General features: G+C 42.3%; 1 protein-coding gene and 2 pseudogenes across 3 annotated transcripts in view, besides 2 other annotated features; all 3 read right to left on the bottom strand.

Moving 5' to 3' along the window:
- The window catches only part of CAGE1 (cancer antigen 1), a 63,084-nt gene that overhangs the window by 1,151 nt on the left and 34,147 nt on the right, over window positions 1-27,786 (bottom strand). For 2 of the 3 annotated variants that reach the window (NM_205864.3, NM_001170692.2), the window contains 3 exons: window positions 27,232-27,302; window positions 6,213-6,281; window positions 2,040-2,079 (listed from right to left, as the gene is read on the bottom strand). In NM_205864.3, the coding sequence (NP_995586.1) occupies window positions 2,040-2,079; window positions 6,213-6,281; window positions 27,232-27,302 (180 nt within the window). Of the gene's footprint in view, window positions 1-1,286; window positions 1,458-2,039; window positions 2,080-6,212; window positions 6,282-27,231; window positions 27,303-27,786 lie in introns of those variants that run through there. The other variant, NM_001170693.2, reaches the window with a different exon arrangement.
- Window positions 11,022-11,789, bottom strand: RPS3P4 (ribosomal protein S3 pseudogene 4; annotated as a pseudogene).
- Window positions 12,935-14,746, bottom strand: ACCSLP1 (ACCSL pseudogene 1; annotated as a pseudogene).
- Window positions 14,602-14,764: a silencer, noted in NCBI's record as "fragment chr6:7342644-7342806 (GRCh37/hg19 assembly coordinates)". NCBI's record gives its function as "represses an EF-1alpha promoter that drives an FKBP-Casp9 reporter gene in an ReSE screen in K562 erythroleukemia cells {active_cell/tissue: K562}" and the evidence as "EXISTENCE:reporter gene assay evidence [ECO:0000049][PMID:32094911]".
- Window positions 18,940-19,844: an enhancer, noted in NCBI's record as "NANOG-H3K27ac hESC enhancer chr6:7346982-7347886 (GRCh37/hg19 assembly coordinates)". NCBI's record gives its function as "activates a minimal SCP1, AML or CMV promoter by ChIP-STARR-seq in naive H9 embryonic stem cells {active_cell/tissue: H9 hESC(naive)}" and the evidence as "EXISTENCE:reporter gene assay evidence [ECO:0000049][PMID:30033119]".

Here is a 27,786-nt window from a genome sequence, read left to right on the forward strand (position 1 = left end):
ACCCCAGCTACTCGGGAGGCTGAGGCAGGAGAATCACTTGAACCCCGGAAGTGGAGGTTGCAGTGAGCCGAGATTGCGCCATTGCACTCCAGCCTGGGCAACAAGAGTGAAACTCCGTCTAAAAAATAAATAAATAAATAAATAAATAAATAACCATTGACAGTATTAAGGCACCCTCTTAGTTCAACTATGAGAAAAGCTGGGTCTCAATGGCAGCATATGGAGGCATGCCCTATTGAGTGTCCCCTCATCCCCAAAGCTATGTTACAAATAGGCCACGGCATTTATGAACATACCCATGTCCTGGAATGGGACAGAGGTGGCAGCAGCTGTGTCTGCTGTTTGGGATCACTCCAGCAAGTGTAGCATTGGTCCTGGGTCCCAAGTCTAACATTCACTCCTATTTAGTACCTTTTATGAGATAGGTACTTGAGGATATCAAAATGAATATGAGACAATTCCTGTACTCAAAGAGTTCTAGTCAAGTCAAAGGACATGCAAGCAGAGAACTGTAATGCTGTGTCATAGGTGCTATTACGTCAAAGGGTATAGTGTGAGCACATGGGAGGAAGCAAGTCAGTTCCATTTGGGAGACAGAGCAGGAAAAGCTTCAGAGAGGAGGCAGAGCTTGAGCTGACAGGCGTTTGTGAGGTGGGAACTGAGTAACTGAGAGAAAGAGTTGGGGAAGAACATACCAAGTAGGAGAAGCTGCATGAGCAATAACAGGAAAGCACAGAAATGACATACCATGCATAGAGGTAGGAAGTAGAACCATGGTTAGTAGAGGCTGAGAAGGGCAGTGAGGGGAGGATAGGGAGAAGTTGGTGAATGGATACAAAATGACAGCTAGATAGAAGGAATAAGTCCCAGTGTTCTGTAACACTGCAGGGTAACTAGAGTTAACCATAATTTATTGGATATTTTCAAATAGCTAGAAGAGAGGATTTTGAATCCTCCCAACACAAAGAACTGATGAATGTCTGGAGTGATAGATTTGCTAATTACACTGATGTAATCATCACACATTGTGCACATGCATGGAAGTACTACTCTGTATCTTATAAGTGTGTGTGTGTGTGTGTGTGTGTGTGTGTGTGTGTGTGTGTGTGTATATATATATATATATTTTTTTTTTTTTTTGAGATAGAGTCTCTCTCTGTCGCCCAGGCTGGAGTGCGGTGGTAAGATCTTGGCTCACTGCAACTTCCGCCTCTTGGATTCAAGCTATTCTCCTGCCTCAGCTGCCCAAGTAACTGGGATTACAGGCACGCACCACAACATCTGGCTAATTTTCTGTATTTTTAATAGAGACGAGGGTTCCCCATGTTGGTCAGGCTGGTCTTGAACTCCTGAACTCAAGTGATCCACCCGCCTCGGCCTCCCAAAGTGCTGGGATTACAGGCGTCAGCCACCGCGCCCAGCCTGTATCCTATAAATATGTACAAGTTATATGCCAACTAAAAAGAAAAGAAAAAAAAATCGCTTGCTTAGAAAGCTGCAGTTGGTTAGATGTGGCCAATATGCATGATGAGAAGGAGAAAGCAGTGAACGGTAAGACTGGATAGGAGGGCTGGAGCCAGATCATAGGGGACTTTATACGCCTCGCCAAGGAGCTCAGATTTGATCCAGAATGTGATTGGGAACCACTGAAGGGCTTTATGCAACGGAGGGGCATGAAAATATTTTGCTTTTGAAAGATCACTCTGTCTACTCTATGGAGGATGGCATGAAGGGGACCAAAACTGGAGGCAGAAACAATAATTAGGAGGTGAGTGCAACAGGTCATATGAGAAACGACAGGGGCTTGAAGGAGTAGCAGTGGGGATGGTGTGAAGGAGCCCTACAAGATTAGAGGGAGGGGTTTCCAATTATAGCACCAGCTATGACAGGAGACGGAAGAGCCCTCATCTGAAGACAGAGGGGAAGGCTAGGTTGCACAGTATGGAAATGTGACTTCAGGAACTCCTATTAAATCTTGTGTTATTGTCAAATTACATGGAAATGTAAGATTCTTTATCATGATCATCAAGGTGACCTACCATGGTCATGGACTTCGGATGATTTTCTAAGCTTTTTGATCTGTAAGAAATAGAAAGAAAATAATGTAAAAAGGAGGAAGGGGGGACTGAAATAGTGAACATGGTGAGCAAGTTGCCATTATTTAGCATATTTTCCCCTCACTTTCAAGGAGAAATCGTCATTTAAGATAGAACTATGAGACCCTCAGAGATTAAGATCAAGCTTTTTGGTATATAACATGTGAATCATTCTCAGTGCATTTAAATAAAAACAATGAGGCAGGTTGCGGTGGCTCACACCTGTAATCCCAGCACTTTGGGAGGCCCAGGTGGGTGGATCACTTGAGGTCAGGAGTTCAAGACCAGCCCTGCCAACATGGTGAAACCCTGTCTCTACCAAAAATACAAAGATTACCTGGGCATGGTGGCACGCACCTGTAAACCCAGCTACTCACAAGGCTGAGGCGGAGAATTGCTTGAGCCTGGGAGGTGGAGGCTGCAGTTAGCTAAGATCGCGCCATTGCACTGCAGCCTGGGTAGCAGAGTGAGACTTCATCTCAAATAAAAAAATACATAAAATAAAATAACGATGAGGCACACTCTCACTACATTTAACATTCTCATAGATTTACTTAGGATACGATTCTGACTTGAAAACTTAATGAATTTCCTTGAAAGTCATGAAGAACTAGAGGCAAAAATAAAACATCTGAGGCTATTCAGATACTCGCTTTTGTATCCTTATTTCCCACTATTTCCACTACTGAAGACAACTGGCAAAAGCAATGCCATAATTTTGAGAGGCTGCAGAGTAAGCTGAAGCTTGTTTGAGTGCCGAATATACTGAGATCAATTGGGCCAGTCATCACAGGCTTCACAGAGGGTGGTGGCTGAAAGCTGATGTAGGTCTGGAGTTTTCTAACAAATGTCCTCTTGGCTGGAAAGGGCTTTGAGAGCTCTTCTGCCCATCTCACCCCCTGGCTTCTAGGCCAGTCTAAATCTATATAAATGGGCCTAGACTCCATTGTGAAAATAGGCCAAATATAAGTAAACAGAGGTCTGAACTGGTGAAACACATGTAAATTCATATTTAAATTTTCTTATTTTAAAATAAGCCTAGGAAAAAAATTCCATTGTTTCTCTCAGCAACTCAGAGAAGATCCATCTTCAGTATAAATTAGCATTTACTGAGCATCTGTGGTATGCCAAGGATCAGATCACATTTTTTCATTTTGGGGAAAAAGTCATAGTTAACCTATCACTTGCAAATGCTAGTTTAAATCTGCCAAGGGTTTTCTATTTTCTTTCTCTCTTTCTTTTTTTACATCTTTAATGAAATGACCTTGGAAATAACGTACATTTCCATGACACCAACACTATAGTTTTTGGGGTCACGGTAAGATACACAGAATTACATCTGTAATTAATATGACTGCCAACATGTCAAGCAGTGGTTTATCACATGGCAAACAAAATCAAGAAAGCAACCATCAAACAAAAGAGACCCGTAAGTCTGGACAAGGCAAATCCCAGGACAGCATATGAGAACAGCTGCTACTTTAGTGCAGGGTTTCTGGCATAACCAATGATAAGGCTACCAAAGACTGTTCCAATACCAGCAGCAGAACCAGCCACTCCTAATGTTGCAGTGCCTGCACCGTTACATTTCACACCAGTCTCAATGTCTCTGCTGATTGCCCTGGTTTGAAACTCTTTGGTTTAGCTGAGACACACCATTCTGGGCCCCATTAAATACCACAGAGCCCTCTCCAGGTCTGTATGCAACTCTACGCTGTTTAAGATAGAACTTCAGAGCGGGGGTGCAGGCGAGCTTGGCATAGGCAAACATCTTAAACTCTTCGAGGTGGTGCAGCTGGAGGACTTGGGTGACAGGAGACTTGGGCTCCTCTCCCGCTTCCTCTCCTCCTGGGAAGTGGCAGTGGCAGCAGTGGCAGCAGAGGTTGAAGGAATGGGCCTCCGATTTTCAAAACAGTTGTATTTGCAAATGGTATGCTGAACAAACATGACTTATGACAAAACCAAAATGCAACTTTAATTTTGGTCTTCCATTTCTACTTTAAGCTTTTTGCACTCAGAGAAGCTTTTCCTTTGCCCTTCCTTGGGTGAATACACAGCAGGGCCAATGCTTCTTTTGCTTACTCTAAAGTAACAGTCTTCACTGTGAGGCATAAACAGTCTCAATTCATTAGGTATACTGTACTGTCTTAATATTAATCAATCCTTTAATCTTCACTCAAAAGCAGGGCTTCTCCTCCCCATCTATCAGTTCAGGTCTGTAGCTGATGGACACCACTGTCTTTGGAGGCCAGTTTCCCCTTTTTGCTCATTTCCCTCTCCATTTGTAGGAGGAGAGCAAAGGCCACAGGACAGCTCATACTTGGCTGGGTGGCTTCAGAGTCTCAGCTTGGCAATTGGCTAATGCTGATTCTTTCTCTTTGGAGCTTGCCGTTGCTGGGGATCTCTGTCCTGCAGTTCCCAGGACCTACGCGGAGGCATTTCTCCTCTGGGTGATCACTCGATACTCTATCAGCCCCGAAGAATCTGGCATTCTCTTCTAGTTTCTTGCTGCTTCCAGGCCTCCTTGGGCAGAGCTGAAGATAACTCAACTCTCAACTGCATGGTTCTTAAGGGATTTTCACACCCATTCTTTGTCTCAACAAGCTCAGAGAGAAAAGCTATCCAACACAGCCCCTCTGCTGAGCAGCCACAGCTTGCCTTAGTTTTCTTAGGCATGAATGAATCACCAGTCCTCTGTGTTTCCCAACTTTTAGGGAACACGTTTCAAAGCTCTTTAGGTGATTCCCTGGAAACTCCTCATAAGGCTTTAGGTAAAAGAGGTAGAATTACCTGGGAGACAGGAACTCATGACACGACAGATTCGAAGAAATCCTTCTCCAATCTTCCCTACTCTCCATACTTTTATATCTTGGATCTGGCCAAGAGATAGGAGTCATGGAAGGGGTTCTCTGAAATCATTTATTTCGGAAACTCTGCACATGGGAAAAACTCACTCTCACTTTGGGAACTGGTAACAGTGTTATTAGCACCTAAGGAACTGGGCTAGAAAGAGTCTCATTTTAACATACTGCTGTGTTCTTTTTTTTTTCTTTTCTTTTCTTGAGATGGAGTTTTTGCCCTGTTGCCCAGGCTGTAGTGCAGTGGCACGATCTCAGCTCACTGCAACCTCTGCCTCCCGGGTTCAAGCGATTCTCCTGCCTCAGCCTCCTGAGTAGCTGGGATTACAGGTGCCCACCACCATGCCTGGCTAATTTTTGTATTTTTAGTAGAGACAGGGTTTCACCATGTTGGCCAGGCTAGTCTTGAACTCTTGACCTCAAGTGATTCACCCGCCTCAGTCTCCCAAAGTGCTAGGATTACAGGCATGAGCCACCGTGCCCTGCCTATACTGCTGTGTTCTTAATCAACCACACAGGGTTTGCGCATACATCTTGTAGCATCAGATGTTGAGCCTCTTCTAAAATAGCAGACTGTGAGGCTTAATGTTACTGTAAGAAAATATGGTGATAAAATACAGAGCAGGGCAAGTAGTTTTGTTGTAGACAAAAATCTTAGCCCATAATCTTTATAGTTTCTTCCTTAGAGTGACTGTACATTCCATGAAAGCAGGGAATCTGGCTTTCCATTTTAGGTTCTACAAAAAACATTAATCAAGCAACTACTTTATGCTAGGCAAAACATGAAGCACTTTCATATAATTATCTTGTTTACCTTAAATTGAGATAAGGAAAAGAGTTTTTTTTTTTAAGTATTATCTAACTATCTATCTAACTATCTATATATATATATATATATATATATATATATACATTTTTTTTTTGAGACAGAGTCCCACTCTGTTGCTCATGCTGGAGTGCAGTGGCACGATCTCGGCTCACTGCAACCTCCGCCTCCCAGGTTCAAGCGATCCTCCTGCCTCAGCCCCCCAGTAGCTGGGATTACAGGCACGTGCCACCATGCCCGGCTAATTTTCGTATTTTTAGTAGAGATGGGGTTTTGCCATGTTGGCCAGGCTGGTCTCGAACTCCTGACCTCAGGTGATCCACCCACCTTGGCCTCCCAAAGTGCTGGGATTACAGGCGTGAGCCACCGCACTTGGCCATATTACCTATATTTTAAAGACATTATTAATTTTAAAAATAAAGGGAAACTTACCTTGGTTTTCTGGCTTTTTCTCTGGGCTTTCTAATTAAATCCTCTAAATGTTTATTTCTCTCTTCCAAACTGAAAGAAGAAACAATTGAATTTTATGACTAAAATGGACTTTTCTAGACCAATATTTTGTTAGATTCACTGGAGGATTTTAGTAGGTAAAAATAGGTAATCTAATTATCTATATGCTATCCAACCACCTAACCATATAGAAACTTGGGATTCTTTCCTAGCAACTCAAAATTATTCTATCAGTTTTTCCCTTTATAGGTTCCAGTGGTGAAGAAGGAAAGTAGACAGTAGCAAATATGTAAAGCAGCATTCAGATATTCTCCCATTTGCTTACACAGTGGTTTACTCATACTGATCCCTCTATATGAGTAAATCCAATATGATCCTGGGGGTAACATGTTAAAAACAAAACTCCTGGCTAGACATGGTGGCTCACACCTGTAATCCCAGCACTTTGGGAGGCTGAGGCAGGCGAGTCTCTTGAGCCCAGGAGTTCGTGACTAGCCTGGGCAACATGGTGAAATTCTGTCTCTACAAAAATACAAAAATTAGCCGGGCATGGTGGCACATGCCTGTGATCCCAGCTACTTGGGAGGCTGAGCTGGGAGGATTGCTTGAGCCGAGGAGGTGGAGGTTGCAGTGAGCCAAGACCGTGCCACTGCACTTCAGCCTGGGACAGAGCTAGACTCTCTCTCAAAAAAAAAAAAAAAAAGGAAAGAAAGAAAATAAAAGAAAAAAACCAAAAAACCCTGAGCTAGAAACAGCTTAACATGGGAAAATATGTGATAGCATTACAAGACTGTCACAAACCCATTTTTCCATCCAGAGAGGTTGTATGAGCTTCCTGTGGCTGCTGCAACAAATCAACACAAATTCTGTGGCTTAAAACACCATTTATTTTCTTCTGGAGGTCAGAAGTCCAAAAGAAGCTTCACCGGCCTGAAATCAAGGTGTTGGCAGGGATGTCCACCCTCTAGAAGCTCGAGAGGAGAATCCTTCACCTGGCCTCATCCAGCACCTGGAGGCCGTCCTCATTCCTGAGGGGGCTTGGCCCCACATCACACCACCTTTTCTCCCCGTTTCCACTGTCATGTTGACTCTTTATCTTCTGTCATCAAATCTCTCTCTGCCTCCCCCCTCTTATAAGGACCCCTGTGATTGCATTTAGGGCCCACTCAGATAATCCAAAATAATCTCCGCAACTCAAGATGTAATCACATCTGCAAGGCTCTTTTGCTATATAAGGTAATGGTCACAGGTTCTAGTGATTAGAACTTGGATATCTTTGGGCCATTCCTCGGCCTACTATAAAGGATAAATAGACCTGAGAGGATATGAAATTCTACTGCAGAGGTCTAAACTCAAACGCCTGTAGAAGGGTCAGGCAGGTATGTGAAATGAGCGAAGCCAGCTAAATGGTGATTCAGACAAACCAAAGAGCATACACTCCTAGGCCCTGCCTAAAAGAAGTTGCTACTTAGCTCTTGCCAAATGTTGCCATGTGAGAATGCTGCAGCCGTGAGATCAGATCTTCTTGTTTTATTTATTTTTAAAGTTTTACTATTCAGAGACAGAGTCTCACCCTGTCATTCAGGCTGGAATATAGTGGTGCAATCACAGCTCACTGCAGCCTCAAACTCCCGGGCTGAAGCAATCCTCTCAGCCTCCTGAGTAGCTAGGACTGCAGGTGCATGCCACCACACCTGACTAATTGTTTTACTATTTTGTGGAGACAAGAGTCTTGCTATGTTGCCCAAGCTGGTCTTGAACTCCTGGCCTCAAGCTATCTTCCCGCCTCAGCCTCCCAAAGTGCTGGGATTGTAGGCATGAGCCACCATGCTCAGCCTACTTTTGTTTTTAAAGAGGAGATATAAATCTAGATTTTTACAGAATTATCTTCCCTTTTCAATTCTGGCAATTAATTTAAAAAAAATGTGTTAAATATTATATGGACAAAACACATATACCCTAGAATATAACTTGTAGATTGTCATTTTGAAAGTTATACTCTTTCTTTCAGAGATATCAGGCTTTTGTTTTAAAGGGATAAAGAGAAGTTGTCAAACCCAGGAACAGAAGATAATGTGAAACAGACTCTGTGTATACCAAAAGCCTGAGTCTATCATGCTTTGTCATCAGAGAAATAACATGGAATAAATCTTCTGTATTTCTAGAATTGAAAAGAATGAGCCCAACTCCTGAAGGAGGGAGATACCCAAGGAAAGAAAGTGAAAAGTTTTTCCAAGTGTGCAACATAGCAGCAGTGGAATATATTGACACTGCACTCCCATGTGTAGAGCTGCACGCAAGAAGCTATAATCTAAGCCTACCTAAATGGAGTCCTTGGTTTATTTTGGAGGAAGTCATGTCCTCCGTAGAGGCCATGGGAGAACTCTGCTGAGAGCTAGGCAAGCAAAGCAGCACCACTGAATGGAGTATAATGAGTGCTTTGATTTGCATTTAATGACATGAGTGTATTTCTTTCTTTTTTTCTTTTAAGACAGAGTCTTGATCTGTCGCCAAGACTGGAATGCAGTGGCACAATCTCAGCTCACTGCAACCTCCGCCTCCCTGGTTCAAGTGATTCTCATGCCTCAGCTTCCCGAATAGCTGGGATTACAGGTGTGCGCCACCATGCTTGGCTAATTTTTGTATTTTTAGTAGACATGGGATTTTGCTGTATTAACCAGTCTGGTCTCAAACTCCTGGACTCAAGTGATCCTGTCACCTTTGCCTCCCAAAGTGCTGGGATTACAGGCATCAGCCACCGCACGCAGCTGACATGAATATATTTCATGTGCTTATTTGCCATCCATATACTTTCTTGGTAGAATCTCTACTAAAATCTTCGCCCATTTTTATTGGGTTATTTGTTTTCTTATGACTGAATTTTGAGAGTTCATTACATCTGGATAGAAGTTCTTTATTGGATACACGATTTACAAATATGTTCTTCCAGACTATGGCTTGTCTTTTGATCTGTTAACAGTGTCTTCAGAGAGCAGTTTTAGGCTGGGCAAGGTGGCTCACACCTGTAATCCCAGCACTTTGGGAGGCCGAGGTGGGTGGATCATGAGGTCAGGAGTTCAAGACCAGCCTGGCCAACATGGTGAAACCCCGTCTCTACTAAAAATACAACCAAAAAAATTAGCCCAGTGTGGTGGCGTGCACCTGTAGTCCCAGCTACTTGAGAGGCTGAGGCAGGAGAATCACTTGAACCTGGGAGGCGGAGGTTGCAGTGAGCCAAGATTGCACCACTGCCCTCCAGCCTGGGTGACAGAGTGAGACTGTCTCGAAAAAAAAAAAAAAAAAAAAAGAAGAGCAGTTTTAAATTTTGATGAAGTCGAATTTATTAAAATTTTCTCTAATGAATCATGCTTTTAGTGACATGTCTAAGAAATTGTTGCCTAACCCAAAGTCATAGAAATTTTCTCATATGTGTTCTTCTAGATATTTTATGGTTTTAGCCTTTATCTTTGGGTATATTATCCATTTTGAGTTTACTTCGTATGTGGTGGAGTGTATAAATCAAAGTTAATTTTTTTGAAAATGGGCAATGATTTCAGCACCATTTGTTGAGAAGGCTATCCTTTTTCCACTTTGTTGCCTTTGTACCTTTGTCAAAAATCACTTGTCCATATATGCATGGGTCCAGGTCTGCATTCCCTGGTCTGTTCCATTGATTTTTATATTTTTACACCAATGCTACACTGTTTTGATTATTGTAGCTCTATAAAAAGTCTTAGAATCAGAGTTTCCCTCCCATTTTATCCTTCTTTATCAGAGTTCTTTCAGCTATTCTATGCCTTTTGAATTTCCATATGAGTTTAGAATCAGCTTGTTAAGTTTATTTAAAATTGGAATTGCACTGAATCAATAAATGAACTTGGGGAAAATCTTAACAAAATTGACCCATGAAAGAGATATACCTCTCCATTTATTTAACTCTTCTTTACTTTTTCTCAATGATGTTTTGTAATTTTTAGTATATGAGTCTTTTACATACTTTCGCCAAATTTATCCTTATGTAGTTTATATTTTTGGTGCTATCAGAAATGTTTCTTAATTTCTGATTATCTGTTGCTAGTATATAAAAATACTACTTTTACATATTTGTACTGGATCCTGCAACTTTTTTTGTAGATTCCATCAGATTCTCTACATAGATGATCACGTGTCTGTGAACACATGCATTTTTGCTTCATGTCCAATTTGGATGAGTGTTATTTTTCTTGCCTGATTGTACTGGACAGAACTTCCAGTACAATGTGAATGTACTGGAATGTCTTGTTCCTGATGATGAGAAAGCATTTAGTCTATCATCATTAAGTATAATGTTAGTAGGCTTTTTGTAGGTGCTCTTTGTCCTTATTGAGACAGTTCCTTTCTTTTCCTAGGTTGTTTAGGTTTTCTCATGAAGAATGATGTTGGATTTTGTCAAACGGTTTTTCTGTCTATCGAAATTATCATATGCTTTCTCTTTTTTAGTTTTTTAAATATGCTAACTAACATTGATGGATACAATTGTTATTACACATAAAGCTGGCCCTTTTTTGCTATATAAGGTAACATTCACAGATTCTAGGGATTAGAACATGGATTTGCCATTTACTTTTACCTGCCATTTTTAGCAGTATACACTGTACCCAATTTGTAATCTTTTATCCCTCACCCCCTTCCACTCTTTCCCCCAAGTCCCCAAAGTCCACTGTATCATTCTTTTTTTTTTCTGTCTTTGTACAATATTTTATAAAGGTCTTTACAGAGCAACATCCAGACTCCAGAATACAGCTGCCAAGGAGATCCTGTTATGCTGTGGTGACTGAGGGCACGGCAGGAGGCTCTGGCTTCCCACCCTTCTGTTCTGAGATGGGGGTGGTGGGCAGTTATCTCATCTTTGGGTTCCACGATGCTCACGTGGTCAGGCAGGGGCTTCTTAGGGCCAATCTTACCAGTTGGGTCCCAGGGCAGCATGATCTTCACCTTGATGCCCAGCACACTCTGTCTGAGCAACACATGGCGCACAGCAGTGTCAACGTAGTAGTTAACAGGGTCTCTGCTGTGGATCATCAGGCCGTCCACAAACTTCATGGATTTAGCTCTCTGTCCTCAGAGTTTCCCAGACACCACGACCTCACAGCCTTTGGCCCCAGTTTCCATGATGAACCGCGACACACCATAGCAGGCCCTCCGCACAGCAAGCCCTCCTAGGAGTTTGTAAGGCAGAGACTCTGCCTGGGCAATGGCACACAGACCCCTAGTGGCCACCTCTTCAGCATAAAGCTCTACACTGCCCTCTGGAGAGCCAAACCTCTTCTGAACTACAGCAGTCAGTTCCCGAATCCGCCGGCCCTTCTCACCAAGAACATTCTGTGTTCTGGTGGCTAAGACAATGATTTCTGTCCTGGTTGGTGTAACTCGCATCTCAACTCCAGAGTAGCCATCTTCAGCCAGCTCCTGAGTAAGAAACTCATTCATTTCAGCTTAGAAGATGCCATCAGTGACAAACTTCCTCTTCTTGGAAATTTGTAAGGCGATCTTGCCGCCATGCTCCGCTGAAAGGAAAGGCACTGTATCATTCTTATGCCTTTGTGTCCTCATAGCTTAGCTCCCACTTATGAGTGAGAACATATGATGTTTGGTTTTCCATTCCTGAGCTACTTCACTTAGAATAATGGTCTCCAATTCCATCTAAGTTGCTGTGAATGCCATTATTTCATTCCTTTTTATGGCTGAATAGCATTCCGTGGTGTATATATATACCACAATTTCTTTATCCATTCATTGATTGATGGGCATTTGGGCTGGTTCCATATTTTGGTAATTTCAAATTGTGCTGCTATAAACATGCATGTGCAAGTATCTTTTTTGAATAATGACTTCTTGTCCTCTGGGTAGATACCCAGTAGTGGGATTTCTGGATCAAATGGTAGTTCTACTTTTAGTTCTTTAAAGACTTTCCACACTGTTTTCCACAGTGGTTATACTAGTTTACTTTTCCACCAGCAGTGTAGAAGTGTTCCCTTTTTACCGCATCCTTGACAACATCTGTTATTTTTTGATTTTTTGATTATGGTCATTCTTGCAGGAGTAAGGTAGTATCACATTGTGGCTTTGATTTGCATTTCCCTGATCATTAGTGATGCTGAGCATTTTTTCATACGTTTGTTGGCCATTTCCATATCTTCTTTTAAGAATTGTGTATTCATGTCCTTAGCCCACTTTTTGATGGGATTGTTTTTTTCTTGTTAATTTGTTTGAGTTCCTTGTAGATTCTGTATATTAGCCCTTTGTCAGATGTACGGAGTGTGAAGATTTTCTCCCACTCTGTGGGTTGTCTGTTTACTTTGCTGATTATTGCTTTTGCTGCGCAGAAACTTTTAATTAAGTTCCACCTATTTATCAGTTTTTTAAGAGAACATAGAATTTATTAGATATTGAATATAAAAATAAACCATCTAAATAGGGGCCCAGGGAGCTTCCTTTATTTCTGTAGGTGCCTCCAGGCCTTCCCACCCCAACCCCAATAAAAACATTTTGCATATATAATATCTAGCAAACACTAAAAAGATGCAAAGCTTCCAAAGACAGCAGGCACTCAGCTTAAGGAGGGTGATGACTGGGTCAGATGAGATCTTCCTGGAGGAGCCCACAATTTTCTTAGTTGCAGCACTGACAAAAATACACCCCAGGCTTCTGGACCAGGGGCTGACATTAGGGGGTCCCTGAGCAAGTGATGGGCTAGAGCTACTCGTTGGGAGGCAGACAGTCTACTCCCTCAATGCATCTTCCAACTGCTTCACTAGCAAAGCCTGCTTCTGTTCCTGCAGCACACCACAGAACTGATGTATGGCCAATTTTAGCCGGGGGGAGCTCGTCTGCAAAGATGAGGTGGAACCGGCCTGGCTCCTTATACATACAGGCTTTGCCACAGGATAACAACAGCTTGTTGTCCAGGAAGCGGAGAGAGGAGCTGTTGCTCTTCAAATGTACAGGGATCCAGGTACTTTTTCAAGTTGATCCAGATATAGAGGCCAGAGCTGCAGCTGTGAAAGGGGATCTCCAATGCCTTTAGCTTGGCAGTGATGTACTTGTGAGCTTCCCACAGCCGGTAGTTATTGGTGGGCAGGTACACTTTGTCAATCCATTCTGTGTTCTGGAGCAGTTGACACAGCTTGTGCTAGGTGATGCCAGAGATACTGTGGAGGTAGCCAAAGGTGCTCACAGCAGAAGCCATCTCCTTGTGGTGGGTGTAAACAGAGTACCAAAGAGGAAGCCAGAGATGCCAAAATCCTTACTGGTGTCCCAGATCACATGGGTCCTGTTGTGATCAGGCAGACTTTTCATGCTTAGGACACTGTGGAATGTGATGGATTCATCAAAAACACAGATAGCATGTAAATCTCATCTATGATCACATGTAGGTTATACCTCTTGGCAAATTCCAGGTATTCCATCGCGAGTCTGAGGAGTAGATGTCACCCAGAAGATTCTGAGGGTTGATTAGCACAAGGCCTCGGACCTTTTTCCTCTCAGGCCTAGCTTTAAGCAGGGCTTCCTCTAACTTGTCCACAGCAAGGTGGAACAGATGGGTGTTTGCAACAGTGATCTCACTCTCCAGGTGGACAGGAATCAACTCAACCTTCACGTACAGGCAGGAGCTAAAGTCAAAGCCACTATAGAAGGGAGCAGGCGCCAGGAAGGCCTCGCTTGGATCACACAGAACCATGGCCAGTGCAGAGAAGACAGAGCAGCAGCCATTTAGAACAACCACATTTTCTGGATCAAGTCGGGCAGGTGCCTTGCACTAGTAGGTCAGGAACTGGGCCACTTCTTCTTGCAGGAACGGGTGCCCTCTCCAATCAGGGTACTGCAGCAAGATGTCCTCAATGCCGTTCGTGTCACTTTCTTGCAATCTTTCAGTCATCAGATCTATGCAGAGCTTGTTCTCACTGGTGCCAAGGTTAACGAAGCTCAAGGTGTTCTTGTCCTTATGATATTTGTCTTTTTGGTAGGCATTGTAGTCCTGGAAGCTCGACTAATAGAAGACAGAGATGTCAATCCCACAGTTGGATAGGTCACGGCTGATGAAGGCAGCTTCACAATCACTCAGTTGGGGAACTGGATCAGGCTGCCTGGACAGTTGGGCCCCCTGCCCATATCTGACATCACCCCTAGAGTCCTGGGAAGGAAGAGGCACTTGGAGCTCCAGGCCACTTATGGCCCCAGACTATAGGAGCTGGATCATCTGGCACATTAAGCGACCCAGAAGGGCTTCATGCTCACGGATGGCCTGAGTGTGCCTCCATTCTTCCAGCGGCAGGGCCCTGCCTGCTCATCAGCTGCATGAAGTACTCCCTCATGGTCTACCGCAAGTGCAGCATCATCTCAACAGCTGGGTATAGATGCTCTGGTCTCTGAGGACCTGGCCTCTCATCTGGCCAGATGGCACAGGAAGGGTGTCTGACTGATGACTCATACTCCGGGTATCTGTAGTGGCTCCTGCAGGCTGGCTGTCACCTCTGTCTCTGTTTTCACTTATCTTCTCTCCAGTCTAAAGCCTCACTGAACAAACTGTCCTTGACTGTCAGTGCTCAGGGAACTGCTCTGCCACCCTTCTCCTCAATGAATGTGTTAATCATTGTTTTTGTTGCATTTGCTTTTGGGTTCTTGGTCATGAAGTCTTTGCTTAAGCCAATGTCGAGAAGGGTTTTTCTGATGTTATCTTCTAGGATTTTTATGGTTTCAGGTCTTAGATTTAAGTCCTTGATCCATCTTGAGTTGATTTTTGTATATAAGTTGAGAGATGAGGATCCAGTTTCATTCTTCTACATGTGGCTTGCCAATTATCCCAGCACCATTTGTTGAATAGGGTGTGCTTTCCCCACTTTATGTTTTTGTTTGCTTTGTTGAAGATCAGTTGGCTGTATTTATGCCAACCCTTTTTTCATTAAAAAAGAAGCCTGGCCAACATAGTGAAACCCTGTCTCTACTAAAAATACAAAAAAATTAGCCAGGTGTGGTGGTGGGTGCCTGTAATCCCAGCTACTTGGGAGGCTGAGGCAGGAGAATCGCTTGAACCCGGGAGGTGGAGGTTGCAGTGGGCTGAGATGGCACCACTGCACTCCAGCCCAGGCGACAGTGCGAGACTCTGTCCCACAAAAAAAAAAAAGAAAAGAAAAGAAAAGAAAAAGAAGTCAAAGAAATACAATGGGATTGTGACTATAAATAAGGGCAGTACTAATGTTGTTTTTACTATATACTGAAATGCAGCTTTCTGTGGGGTTTACAAGTTTTAGGGGTAAACAAATGTTCACCTTATTCTCTATGATCAAGGTATAAAATCACATGGATTTTTAAAAGAATGTTCAATCCAATCAAACTTTTTGATCATTCTGTACTCAAAGTATCATGAAACTTAGAAAGAAAGGTTGTGGATTTACACTGAAATTTTCTGTTATTTTTGATATGGTTTTGCATGGAAAAACATTTACAGGGGCTTCATGTGGGTAGAAATAACAGTTGCTGTGACAGGGCAGTGAGTTGTCATTTATGAATTCAGTGTTGTCTGTAGGAGATATGGCATGGAAGTATTCTTCCAGGACTCTGTTGGCATTCTGTGGATGGTGAATAGTAAATAAGTTAATGCAGATTTTGATGAGTGACTTCAAAAACTACAGATTATGATCAGGGATCATATAATGGGTAGGAATGGAATAGAAGGTCACCTTGAATAACAAGGTAGCAGGGCTTGAGAAAATGGGAAGCCAGGACAGGAAATGAACTGGAACATTTTTATAAGAGGATCGACCTCTCACCAGGATGATGTAATGATTGTGATGGGGACAAAGATAGAACAAGTCTCATTTTGTAGGCAGGTGCTCCTTCCTACAAAGGAAGAAATGGGATAGATTCATCAAAAACACAGACAGCACGTAATGTTGTTTGGAGCAGGAACTTCTACATCTGAAACAGACAGATCTGGACTTAAGTGTTAGAAAGTGGTGAGAGGTGACAGCGTGCTGGCAATCCTCACAGCCCTCGCTCGCTCTCGGCACCTCCTCTGCCTGGGCTCCCACTTTGGTGGCACTTGAGGAGCCCTTCAGCCCACCGCTGCACTGTGAGAGCCCCTTTCTGGGCTGGCCACGGCCAGAGCTGGCTCCCTCAGCTTGCAGGGAGGTGTAGAGGGAGAGGCGCCAGCGGGAACCGGGGCTGGGCGTGGCGCTTGCGGGCCAGCTGGAGTTCCGGGTAGGCGTGGGCTTGGCGGGTCCCGCACTCGGAGCAGCCAGCCGGCCCTGCCAGCCCGGGCAATGAGGGGTTTAGCACCCGGGCCAGCGGCTGCAGAGGGTGTACTGGGTCCCCCAGCAGTGCCAGCCCACCGGCGCTGTGCTCGATTTCTCACCGTGCCTTAGCTGCCTTCCCGCAGGGCAGGATTCGGGACCTACAGCCCGCCATGCCTGAGCCTCGCAACCCCTCCATGAGCTCCTGTGCGGCCCAGCCTCCTGGATGAGCGCCGCCCCCTGCTCTACAGCGCCCAGTCCCATCCACCACCCAAGGGCTGAGGAGTGCGGGCGTACGGCCCGAGACTGGAAAGCAGCTCCACCTGCAGCCCCGGTGCCGGATCCACTGGGTGAAGCCAGCTGAGCTTCTGAGTCTGGTGGGAAGGTGGAGAACCTTTATGTCTAGCTCAGGGATTGTAAATACACCAATCAGCACTCTGTATCTAGCTCAAGGTTTGTAAACACACCAATCAGCACCCTGTGTGTAGCTCAGGGTTTGTGAATGCACCAATCAACACTCTGTATCTAGCTATTCTGGTGGGGCCTTGGAGAACCTTTGTGTCGACACTCTGTATCTAGCTAATCTGGTGGGGACGTGCAGAACCTTTGCGCCTAGCTCAGGGATTGTAAACGCACCAATCAGCGCCCTGTCAAAACAGGCCACTCGGCTCTACCAATCAGCAGGATGTGGGTGGGGCCAGATAAGAGAATAAAACCAGGGTGCCCAAGCCAGCAGCGGCAGATGGCTGGTGTTGAAAGCTTTGTTCTTTCACCCTGCAGTAAATCTTAACTCTTGTTGCTGTTTGCTCTTTAGATCCATATTGCTTTTAGGAGCTAGGTCCATATTGCTTTTAGGAGCTATGACACTCCTTGTGAAGGTTTGTAGTTTCACTCTTTGAAGTTAGTATAAGCTACCAGCCTACCAAGAAGAAGGAACAACTCCAGACACGCTACCTTAAGAGTTGCAGCACTGACTGTTAAAGGTTTGCAGTTTTATTTCTGAACCAGCGAGACCACTAAACCCAGCAGGATGAAAGAAACTCTGAACACATCAGAACATCAGAAGGAACAAACGCCAGATGTGCCATCTTAAGAGCTGTAACCCTCACTGCAGGGGTCTGTGGTTTCATTCTTGAAGTGAGACCAAGTAGCCCAAGTCCAGACACAAAATGGCATACTCACATTATATTTCAGCAAGATCACTCTGGCTGCATATACAGAGTAAGCTATCACCAAGTAGTTTTCTTTCAGCCTTTTAGAAAAACAATGTCACTAATAGCTTTCATAGTAAACAGCTGTTTCTAACGTCTAAGGCCTGTGAACGGAAAAATTACAGGCCCGGCGCAGTGGCTCATGCTTGTAATCCCAGCACTTTGGGAGGCTGAGGCGGGCAGATCATGAGGTCAGGAAATTGAGACCATCCTGGCTGACTAAAACCCCGTCTCTACTAAAAATACAAAAAAAATTAGCTGGGCGTCGTGGCAGGCCCCCATAGTCCCAGCTACTTGGGAGGCTGAGGCAGGAGAATGGTGTGAACCCGGGAGGAGAAGCTTGCAGTGAGCCGATACTGTACCACTGCACTCCAGCCTGGGTGACAGAACGAGAGTCCATCTCAAAAAAAGAAAAATTACAGTATAGCCTATGAATGCATTTGAAGAACAATACCTCAAACTCTATTAAATTTTAGCAGAATCAATAGACTAGCACCAATTTAAAAGAATATTGTTCTGATGATGTGTGTATTTGATAATTTTTTTTAAATTTTAGGTGAACCTATAAAGTGAGAGCAAGTTTATCAAGAAATAAAGGAATAAAAGAATGGCTACTCCGTAGGCAAAACAGCCTGATAATTTTTGAAGCAGTGTATACCTTTTAATGAGAGTAAAGCTAATTCACTATAATTAAAAATACTGTTCTTCATGGATATAACAGACTAGATTTGATTTTTTAAAAAGTAAATCAGGGCGGGTGCAGTGACTCACGCCTGTAATCCCAGCACTTTGGGATGCCAAGGTGGTAGGACTGATTGAGTCCAGGAGTTCAAGACCAGCCTGGGCAACACAGCAAGACCCTGTTTCTAAAATAAATAAAAGTCACGCATGGTGGTGCATGCCTGTAGTCCCAGCTACTTGGGAGGCTGAGGTGGGAGGATCATTTGAGCTCAGGAGATGGAGATTGCAGTGAGCCAAGACTGCGCCACTGCACTCCGGCCTGGGCGACAGAGCCAGACCCTGTCTCAAAAAACAAAAAAGTTAGCTGGGCACGGTGGTTCACACCTGTAATCCCAGCACTTTGGGAGGCTGAGGTGAATGGATCACTTGAGGCCAAAAGTTAGAGACCAGCCTGGCCAACACGGCAAAACCCTGTCTCTACTGAAAAAAGAAAAAAAAATAGCCAGGTGTGGTAGTGCACACCTGTGGTCCCAGCTGCTCAGGAGGCTGAGGCAGAAGAATTGCTTGAGCCTGGGAGGCAGACACTGTGCTACTGACTCCAGCTGAGATTGTGCCACTGCACTCCAGCCTGGGCAACAGAGCAAGACTCTATCTCAAAAAAAAAAAAAGAAGAAAGAAAGAAGATTCTAATAAGCAGCCACAGTTGACAATGCTTATGATAAAGCCTAAATTCAGATTCTGACCTATGGTCTCTTCTTCAACACAAATTGGATCAACCACTCAACTGAAATATACATTAGGAAAAAATTTTTTTTCACCCAAGCCCTGCAGAATATTTACATTTTTTAATTTAAAAATAACTGGGGCAATCCTCATGGTGGACGGGAGGCAGGACTAGATTGCAGTTCTGACTAGGATGGACAGAGCAGTGTGTGGAGGCTCGCGTCATGAATTTTAGCTCCAGAATGACTGCAAGAACAAATCAGGAATCCTGACAGGACCCACAGGCCCTCTGAAGGAAGCGGACTGCTCCTGCAGGAGCTGGGAGACACCCCAAATACTGTGAGGGCCCAAACTGCAGAAGTGGGAAAGGGAGACCCTCTGCTCCCAAACACAAACCCCAACTGAAGAAAATGAAGGTCTAGTTTGCGAGAAGTTTCCGACCTTACCTGGAGCTGAGTCAATTTAGAGAGCCAAGCGAAATACAGGGGTAGAGGAAGCAGCGGGAAAGGCCCTGGGAGCTCGCTGGGTCCCCAAGCAGGCCCTTCCTGCCTGGCCCCACAGGGATCCAAAGCGAGGGTGGGGGGGGGGGTTGGGGGGGGCGGTGGGGGAACTTTGTAACAATTTGAATTGAGCAAGAAGCCTCCTGGCCAGAACGTGGGGGAGGGTGGGAAATCTATCTGGTTTGCAGACTCCACAGGAGGGAAAATAACCAAAGCCCTGTTCTTTCACAGCTGGGAGGCAGGTAGCCTGGGGCAAGTTCTCAAGCCCTGCTCACCCACTGCCTGGAAACAGACTGTAAAAGGGGGCATGGTGAGAGTGAGACAGGCCCTTTGGATTGTGTGGGAGTTGGGTGAGGCCTGTGACTGCAGGCTTTCCCCCACTTCCCGAACAACCTGCATGACTCAGCAGAGGCAGCCATAATCCTCCTAGGTACACAACTCCAGTGACCTAGGAATCTCAACCCCATCCCCCACAGCAGCTGCAGCAAGACCTGCCCAAGGAGAGTCTGAGCTCAGACACACCAAGCCCTGCCCCTACCTGATGGGCCTTCCCTATCCACCCCTGGTAGCTGAAGACAAAGGGCATATATTCTTGGGAGTTCTAGGGCCCTGCTCACCACCGGTTCCTTTTCTCTCCATACTACACAGCTGATGCTCTCTGGAAAGTGCCACCTCCTCACAGGAGGCCAACCAGTACAAAAATAAAACATTAAACCACCCAAGTTAAGAACGCTCACAGAGTCCATTTCACCCCCCTGCCACGTCCACGGGAACAGGTGCTGATAGCCACAGCTGATATCCATAGACAGTTCACATCACAGGACTCTGTGCAGACAACCCCCAGTACCAGCCTGGTGCCAGGTAGACTTGCTGGGTGGCTAGACCCCAAAGAAAGGTAACAATCACTGCAGCTCGGCCCATAGGAAGCCACATCCCCAGGAAAAGAGGAAGAGCACCCCATCAAGGGAACACCCCATGGGACAAAAGAATCTAAACAACAGCCTTGGACCTTCCCTCTGACAAAGCCTACCCAAATGAAAAGGAACCAGAAAACCAACTCTGGTAATATGACAAAACAAGGCTCTTTAACATCCCCCAAAATCACACTAGCTCACCAGCTATGGATCCAAACCAAGAGGAAATCCCTGATTTACCTGAAAAAGAATTCAGGAGGTTAGTTATTAAGCTAATCAGGGAGGCACCAGAGAAAGGTGAAGTCCAATTCAAGGAAATCCAAAAAATGATAAAAGAAGTGAAGGGAGAAATATTCAAGGAAATAGATAGCATAAAGAAAAAAAAACTTCAGGAAACATTGGACACACTTATAGAAATGCAAAATGCTCTGGAAAGTCTCAGCAATAGAATTGAACAAGTAGAAGAAAGAAATTCAGAGCTAGAAGACAAGGTCTTTGAATTAACCCAATCCAACAAAGACAAAGAAAAAAGAAAAAGAAAATATGAACAAAGCCTCCAAGAAGTCTGGGATATGTTAAACGACCAAACCTGAGAATAATCGGTGTTCCTGAGGAAGAAGAGAAATCTAAAAGTATGGAAAACATATTTGGGGAATAATCGAGGAAAACTTCCCTGGCCTTGCAAGAGACCGCAACATCCAAATACAAGAAGCACAAAAAACACCTGGGAAATTCATCGCAAAAAGATCATCGCCTAGGTACATTGTCATCAGGTTATCTAAAGTTAAGATGAAAGAAAGAATCTTAAGAGCTGTGAGACAGAAGCACCAGGTAACCTATAAAGGAAACTTATCAGATTAATAGCAGATTTCTCAGCAGAAACCCTACAAGCTAGAAGGGTTTGGGGCCCTATCTTCAGCCTCCTCAACCAAAACAATTATCAGCTAGGAATTTTGTATGTAGCCAAACTAAGCATTATATATGAAGGAAAGATACAGTCTGTTTCAGACAAACAAATGCTGAGAGAATTCCCCACTACCAAGCCACCACTACAAGAACTGCTAAAAGGAGCTCTAAATCTTGAAACAAATCCTGGAAACACATCAAAACAGAACTCCTCTAAAGCATAAATCACACAGGACCTATAAAACAAAAATACAATTTAAAAAACAAAAAAAAACCAAGGTACACAGGCAACAAATAGCATGATGAAAGCAATGGTACCTCACATCTTAATACTAACATTGAATATAAATGGCCTAAATGCCCCACTTAAAAGATACAGAACTGCAGAATGGATAAGAACTCACTGGCCAGGTGCAGTGGCTCATGCCTGTAATCCCAGCACTTTTGGAGGCCAAGGCGGGTGGACCACCTAAGGTCAGGAGTTTGAGACCAGCCTGGCCAACATGGTGAAACCCCATCTTTACTACAAATACAAAATTAGCCAGGTGTGGTGGTGCACACCTGTAATCCCAGCTACTCAGGAGGCTGAGGCAGGAGAATCGCTTGAGCCCAGGGGCCAAGGTTGCCGTGAGCCAAGATCTCACTGTTGCACTCCAGCCTGGGCGACAAGAGTGAAACACTTGTCTCAAAAAAAAAAAAAAAGAAAGAAAGAAAGAAAGAAGAAAAAAAAAGAACTCATCAACCAACTATCTGCTGCCTTCAGGAGACTTACCTAACACATAAGGACTCACATAAACTTAAAGTAAAGGGGTGGAAAAAGGCATTTCATGCAAATGGACACCAAAAGCGAGCAGGGGTAGCTATTCTTATATCAGACAAAACAAACTTTAAAGCAACAGCAGTTAAAAGAGACAAAGAGAGACATTATATGGTAAAAAGCCTCGTCCAACAGGAAAATATCACAATCCTAAACATATATGCACCTAACACTGGAGCTCCCAAATTTATAAAACAATTACTAATAGACCTAAGAAATGAGATAGATGGTAACACAATAATACTGGGGGCTGGCTTCAATACTCCACTGACAGCACTAGACAGGTCATCAGGACAGAAAGTCAACAAAGAAACAATGGAGTTAAACGATACCTTGGAACAAATGGACTTAACAGATATATACAGAACATTTCATCCAAGAACTGCAGAATACACATTCTATTCAACAACACATGGAATTTTCTCCAAAATAGACCATATCATAGGCCATAAAACGAGCCTCAATAAATTTAAGAAAACTGAAATTATATCAAGCACTCTCTCAGACCACAGTGGAATAAAACCGGAAATCAACTCCAAAAGGAACCTTCAAAACCATGCAAATACATGGAAATTAAATAACCTGCTCCTGAATGAGCATTGGGTCAAAAATGAAATCAAGAAGGAAATTTAAAAATCCTTTGAACTCAACTACAATAATGACAGAACCTATCAAAACCTCTGGAGTACAGCAAAGGTGGCAATAAGAGGAAAGTTTATAGCCCTAAACAATTACATCAAAAAGACGGAAAGAGCACCAACTGACAGTCTAAGGTTACACCTCAAGGAAGTAGAGAAACAAGAACAAACCAAACTCAAACCCAGCAGAAGAAAGGAAATAACCAATATCAGAGCAGAACTAAATTAAATTGAAACAAAAAATACAATACAAAGATAAATGAAACAAAAAGCTGGTTCTTTGAAAAGATAAATAAAATTGATAGATCATTTATTAGATAAATAAAATTGATAGATCATTGATAAATATAATTGAAGACTAACCAAGAAAAGGAGAGAAAATCTAAATAACCTCATTAAGAAATGAAATAGCAGATATTACAACTGACACCACTGAAATACAGAAGATCATTCAATGCTGCTATGAACATCTTTACACACATAAACTAGAAAACCTACAAGAGATGGATAAATTCCTGGAAAAATACAACCTTCCTAGCTTAAATCAGGAAGAATTAGATACCCTGAACAGACCAATAACAAGTAGCGAGATTGAAATGGTAATTAAACAATTACCAACAAAAAAAGTCCAGGACCAGATGGATTCACAGCAGAATTCTACCAGACATTCAAAGAAGAATTGGTAGCAATCCTTTTGGCACTATTCCACAAGGTAGAGAAAGAGAAAACCCTCCATAATTCATTCTATGAAGCCAGCATCACCCTAATACCAAAACCAGGAAAGAACACAAATCAAAAAAGAAAACTACCCTAAAACTTAAAGTATAATAAAAATAAAATAAAATAAAATAAGATCACAGCATTTTGGAATAGAAAAAAAAAAAAAACTACAGACTGCTATCCCTGATGAACACAGACGCTAAACTCCTTAACAAAATACTAGCTAACTGAGTCCAACAACATATCAAAAAGATAATCCACTATGATCAACTGGGTTTCACACCAGGGATTCAGGGGTGGTTTAACATATGCAAGTCAATAAATGTGATACACTACATAAAAAGGATTTAAAACAAAAATCATATGATCTTCTCAATAGATTCAGAAAAAGCATTTGACAAAATCTAGCATCCCTTTATGATTACAATTCTCAGCAAAACTGGCATACAAGGGACATACCTCAATGTAATAAAAGCCATCTATGACAAACCCACAGCCAACATAATACTGAAATGGGGAAAAGTTGAAAGCATTCCCTCTGAGAACTGGAACAAGACAAGGATGCCCACTCTCACCACTTCTCTTCAACATAGTACTGGAAGTCCTAGCCAGAGCAGTCAGACAAGAGAAATAAATAAGGGGCACCCAAATTGGCAAAGAGGAAGTCAAACTGTCACTGTTGGCTGAAGACATGATCATTTATCTTGAAAACCCTAATGACTCCTCCCAAAAGCTCCTAGAACTGACAAACGAATTCAGCAACGTTTCCTGATACAAGATAAATGTACACAAATCAGTAGCTCTTCTATATACCAACAGCGACCAAGTGGAGAATCAAATCAAGAACTCAAGCCTTTTTACAATAGCTGCAAAAAAAAAAAAAAACAAAAAAAAACAAAAAAAAAAAACCTAACCAAAGAGTCGAAAGACCTCTACAGGGAAAACTACAAAACACTGCTGAAAGAAACCATAGATGACACAAACAAATAGAAACACACCCCATGCTCATGGATGGGTAGAATCAATATTGTGAAAATGACCATACTGCCAAAAGCAATCTACAAATGCAATACAATCCCCATCAAAACACTACCATCATTCTTCACAGAATTAGAAAAAACAATTCTAAAATTCATATGGAATCAAAAGAGAGCCTGCATAGCCAAAGCAAGACTAAGCAAAAAGAATAAATCTGTAGGCATCACACTACCTGATTTCAAACTATACTATAAGGCTATAGTCACCAAAACAGCATGGTTCTGGTATAAAAATAGGCACATAGACCAATGGAACAGAATAGAGAACCCAGAAATAAATGCAAATACTTATAGCCAACTGATCTTTGACAAAGCAAACAAAAACATAAAGTGGGGAAAGGACACCCTTTTCAACAAATGGTGCTGGGATAACTGGTTAGCTGCATCTAGGAGAATAAAACTGGATCTTCATCTCTCGCCTTTTACCAAAGTCAACTCAAGATGGATTAAGGACTTAAATCTAAGTGCTGAAACTATAAAAATTCTAGAAGATAACATTGGAAAAAACTCTTCTAGATATTGGCTTAGGCAAGGATTTCATGACCAAGAACCCAAAAGTAAATGCAATAAAAACATAGATAAATAGTTGAGACTTAAACTAAAGAGCTTTTGCATGGCAAAAGGAATAGTCAGCAGAGTCAACAGACAACCCACAGAGTGGGAGAAAATCTTCGCACTCTATACATCTGACAAAGGACAAATATCCAGAATCTATAAGGAACTCAAACAAATCAGTAAGAAAAAAATAATCCCATCAAAAAGTGGGCTAAGGACATGAATAGACAATTCTCAAAAGAAGATATACAAGTGGCCAACAAACATATGACAAAATGCTCAACATCACTAATGATCAGAGAAATGCAAATCAAAACTACAATGCGATACCACCTTACTCCTGCAAGAATGGCCATAATAAAAAAATCAAAAAACAGTAGATGTTGGCATGGATGCAGTGATCAGGGAACACTTCTACACTGCTGGTGGGAATGTAAACTAGAATGTAAACAGCCACTATGGAAAACAGTGTGGAGATTCCTTAAAGAGCTAAAAGTAGAACTATCATTTGATCCAGCAACCCCAATACTGGGTATCTACCCAGAGGAACATAAGTCATTATATGAAAAAGATACTTGAACACACATGTTTGTAGCATCACAACTCAAAATTGCAAAATCATGGAAGCAACCCAAATGCCCATCAATCAAAGAATGGATAAAGAAACTGTTATTATATATATGTACACACACACACACACACACACACACACACACACACACACACACACGATGGAATACTACTCAGCCATAAAAAGGAATGAATTAATGGCATTTGCAGTGACCTGGATGAGACTGGAGACTATTATTCTAAGTGAAGGAACTCAGGAATGGAAAACCAAACATCGTATGTTCTCACTGATATGTGGGAGCTAAGCTATGAGGACACAAAGGCGTAAGAATGATATAATGGACTCTGGGGACTTGTGGGGAAGTGTGGAAGGGGGATGAGGGATAAAAGACTATAAATATGGTGCAGTGTATACTGACTGGGTGATGGGTGCACCAAAATCTCACAAATCACCACTAAGGAACTTATCTAACCAAATATCACCTGTACCCCAATAACCTACGGAAAAAAAACAAAAAATAAAATAAAATAAAAATAAAAATAACTGAGGCAAAGCAATATCAGCAAAATGATAGTTTGATATTATTTTTAAATATTAGTTTTTTAATTTTTATATTTCATTGGCCTATGATCATTGAACATTGGCTGAATTTCCTTGGTTATAAGCTGAAGAGGAATCAAATTTTACATTTCCTGAGTATACAACATCCTCTCCCCTCTTCAAATTTAAAACTTGCCTGCATTAGTTTGAAAAAATGGAAAAACTGTTTGACATTTGTTCTGCTTAGAAACAATTGTGAAAACCAAATGCAAACTTTCTAAGATACAAATGCATGCACTTTTAATTATTTTGGGTGAGGCAGGCTTATAGAAAGCTCATATTTTGGGGGCGCTGTCTCTATAAAATTAGACCTTTTGTTAGCTCCAGTGATAGCCAGCACAGCATATATGAAATTGGGGGAAGGATGGAAGAAGCAGCATATTAGAAACAAGTATAATGAATAAATAAGAACTATGCAGAGTTTAGGAGCACAAATTTTGCAGTGTTTCATGCTGAATCCCATTCTCATGAGTTTATTTCCTTCTTGATATATGTATGAATATGTTTAATTTGGTGTGCATTCAATATCTTTTTGTGAGTAATTTCTAAGCACTACAAGATTTTACTTGAATACTACGATAATGTCCTCTAAAATTGCTGAATGTTTCTTAGTAATTCCTTCATCACCCCTTTAAATCAAAGGGAGCTCTGAGAAAGGAAGATGAAAATCTGGTTGCTTAACTGTTGAAGTAGTCCAGACATTAAGCAGTCTATACCTATATTAATAAAGAATGAACTTAATTAATAAAACTGCACATTTTTCTTCTTTCTAGGAGTCTGAAAAAAAGAATTTAGAATCCAGAGAATAAGGTATTAGTAAATATTCACAAAATTAAGGATTCGTTTTTTCAACTTACTGTGCAATCTGGGAGTGGGATATTGCAAGCCTTTGGTCAGCACATTCAATGATTTCTTCATATGATGTAACCTTGAAAAAAATAAGCTAAACCAATTATTTTTCATTCTAGAATTTTTATTTTTTTCTTTTTTATGACTACAAGTTGAAGCTTAATTATCTGACTATTAATGAAAGTTTCATAATAGGCAAAACACTTTCCTTACATTTTGAAATCAGGAACATGAAAGAAAAGAATGATAACACGCCCATTAATCATGCAGAAAACGTGAAGTACCAAAAAATGGACAACAGTAATGAGTCAACCATAATCTAGTTGTCTTCCAAATAAGTACTGTATGCATCAACTAGGGATTAGAGTTCATTTGATTAAAGTTAAGGCAGTTTTAATAAGGTAAACTGGAACACTAAGTTGGCAAGATTTAGAATTATCCTGAAAATGAAGTAGCAATACTAAGATTTTAAATTGCCAACAGCAGAATGGATAGACACACACAACAATCTTTGATAGCTTTCAGCTAAAAGGATAATGGGGGTGTTTTATAATATCATTATG

The sequence above is a fragment of the Homo sapiens genome, chromosome 6, assembly GCF_000001405.40.
Source record: "Homo sapiens chromosome 6, GRCh38.p14 Primary Assembly".
Classification (NCBI taxonomy): domain Eukaryota; kingdom Metazoa; phylum Chordata; class Mammalia; order Primates; family Hominidae; genus Homo; species Homo sapiens.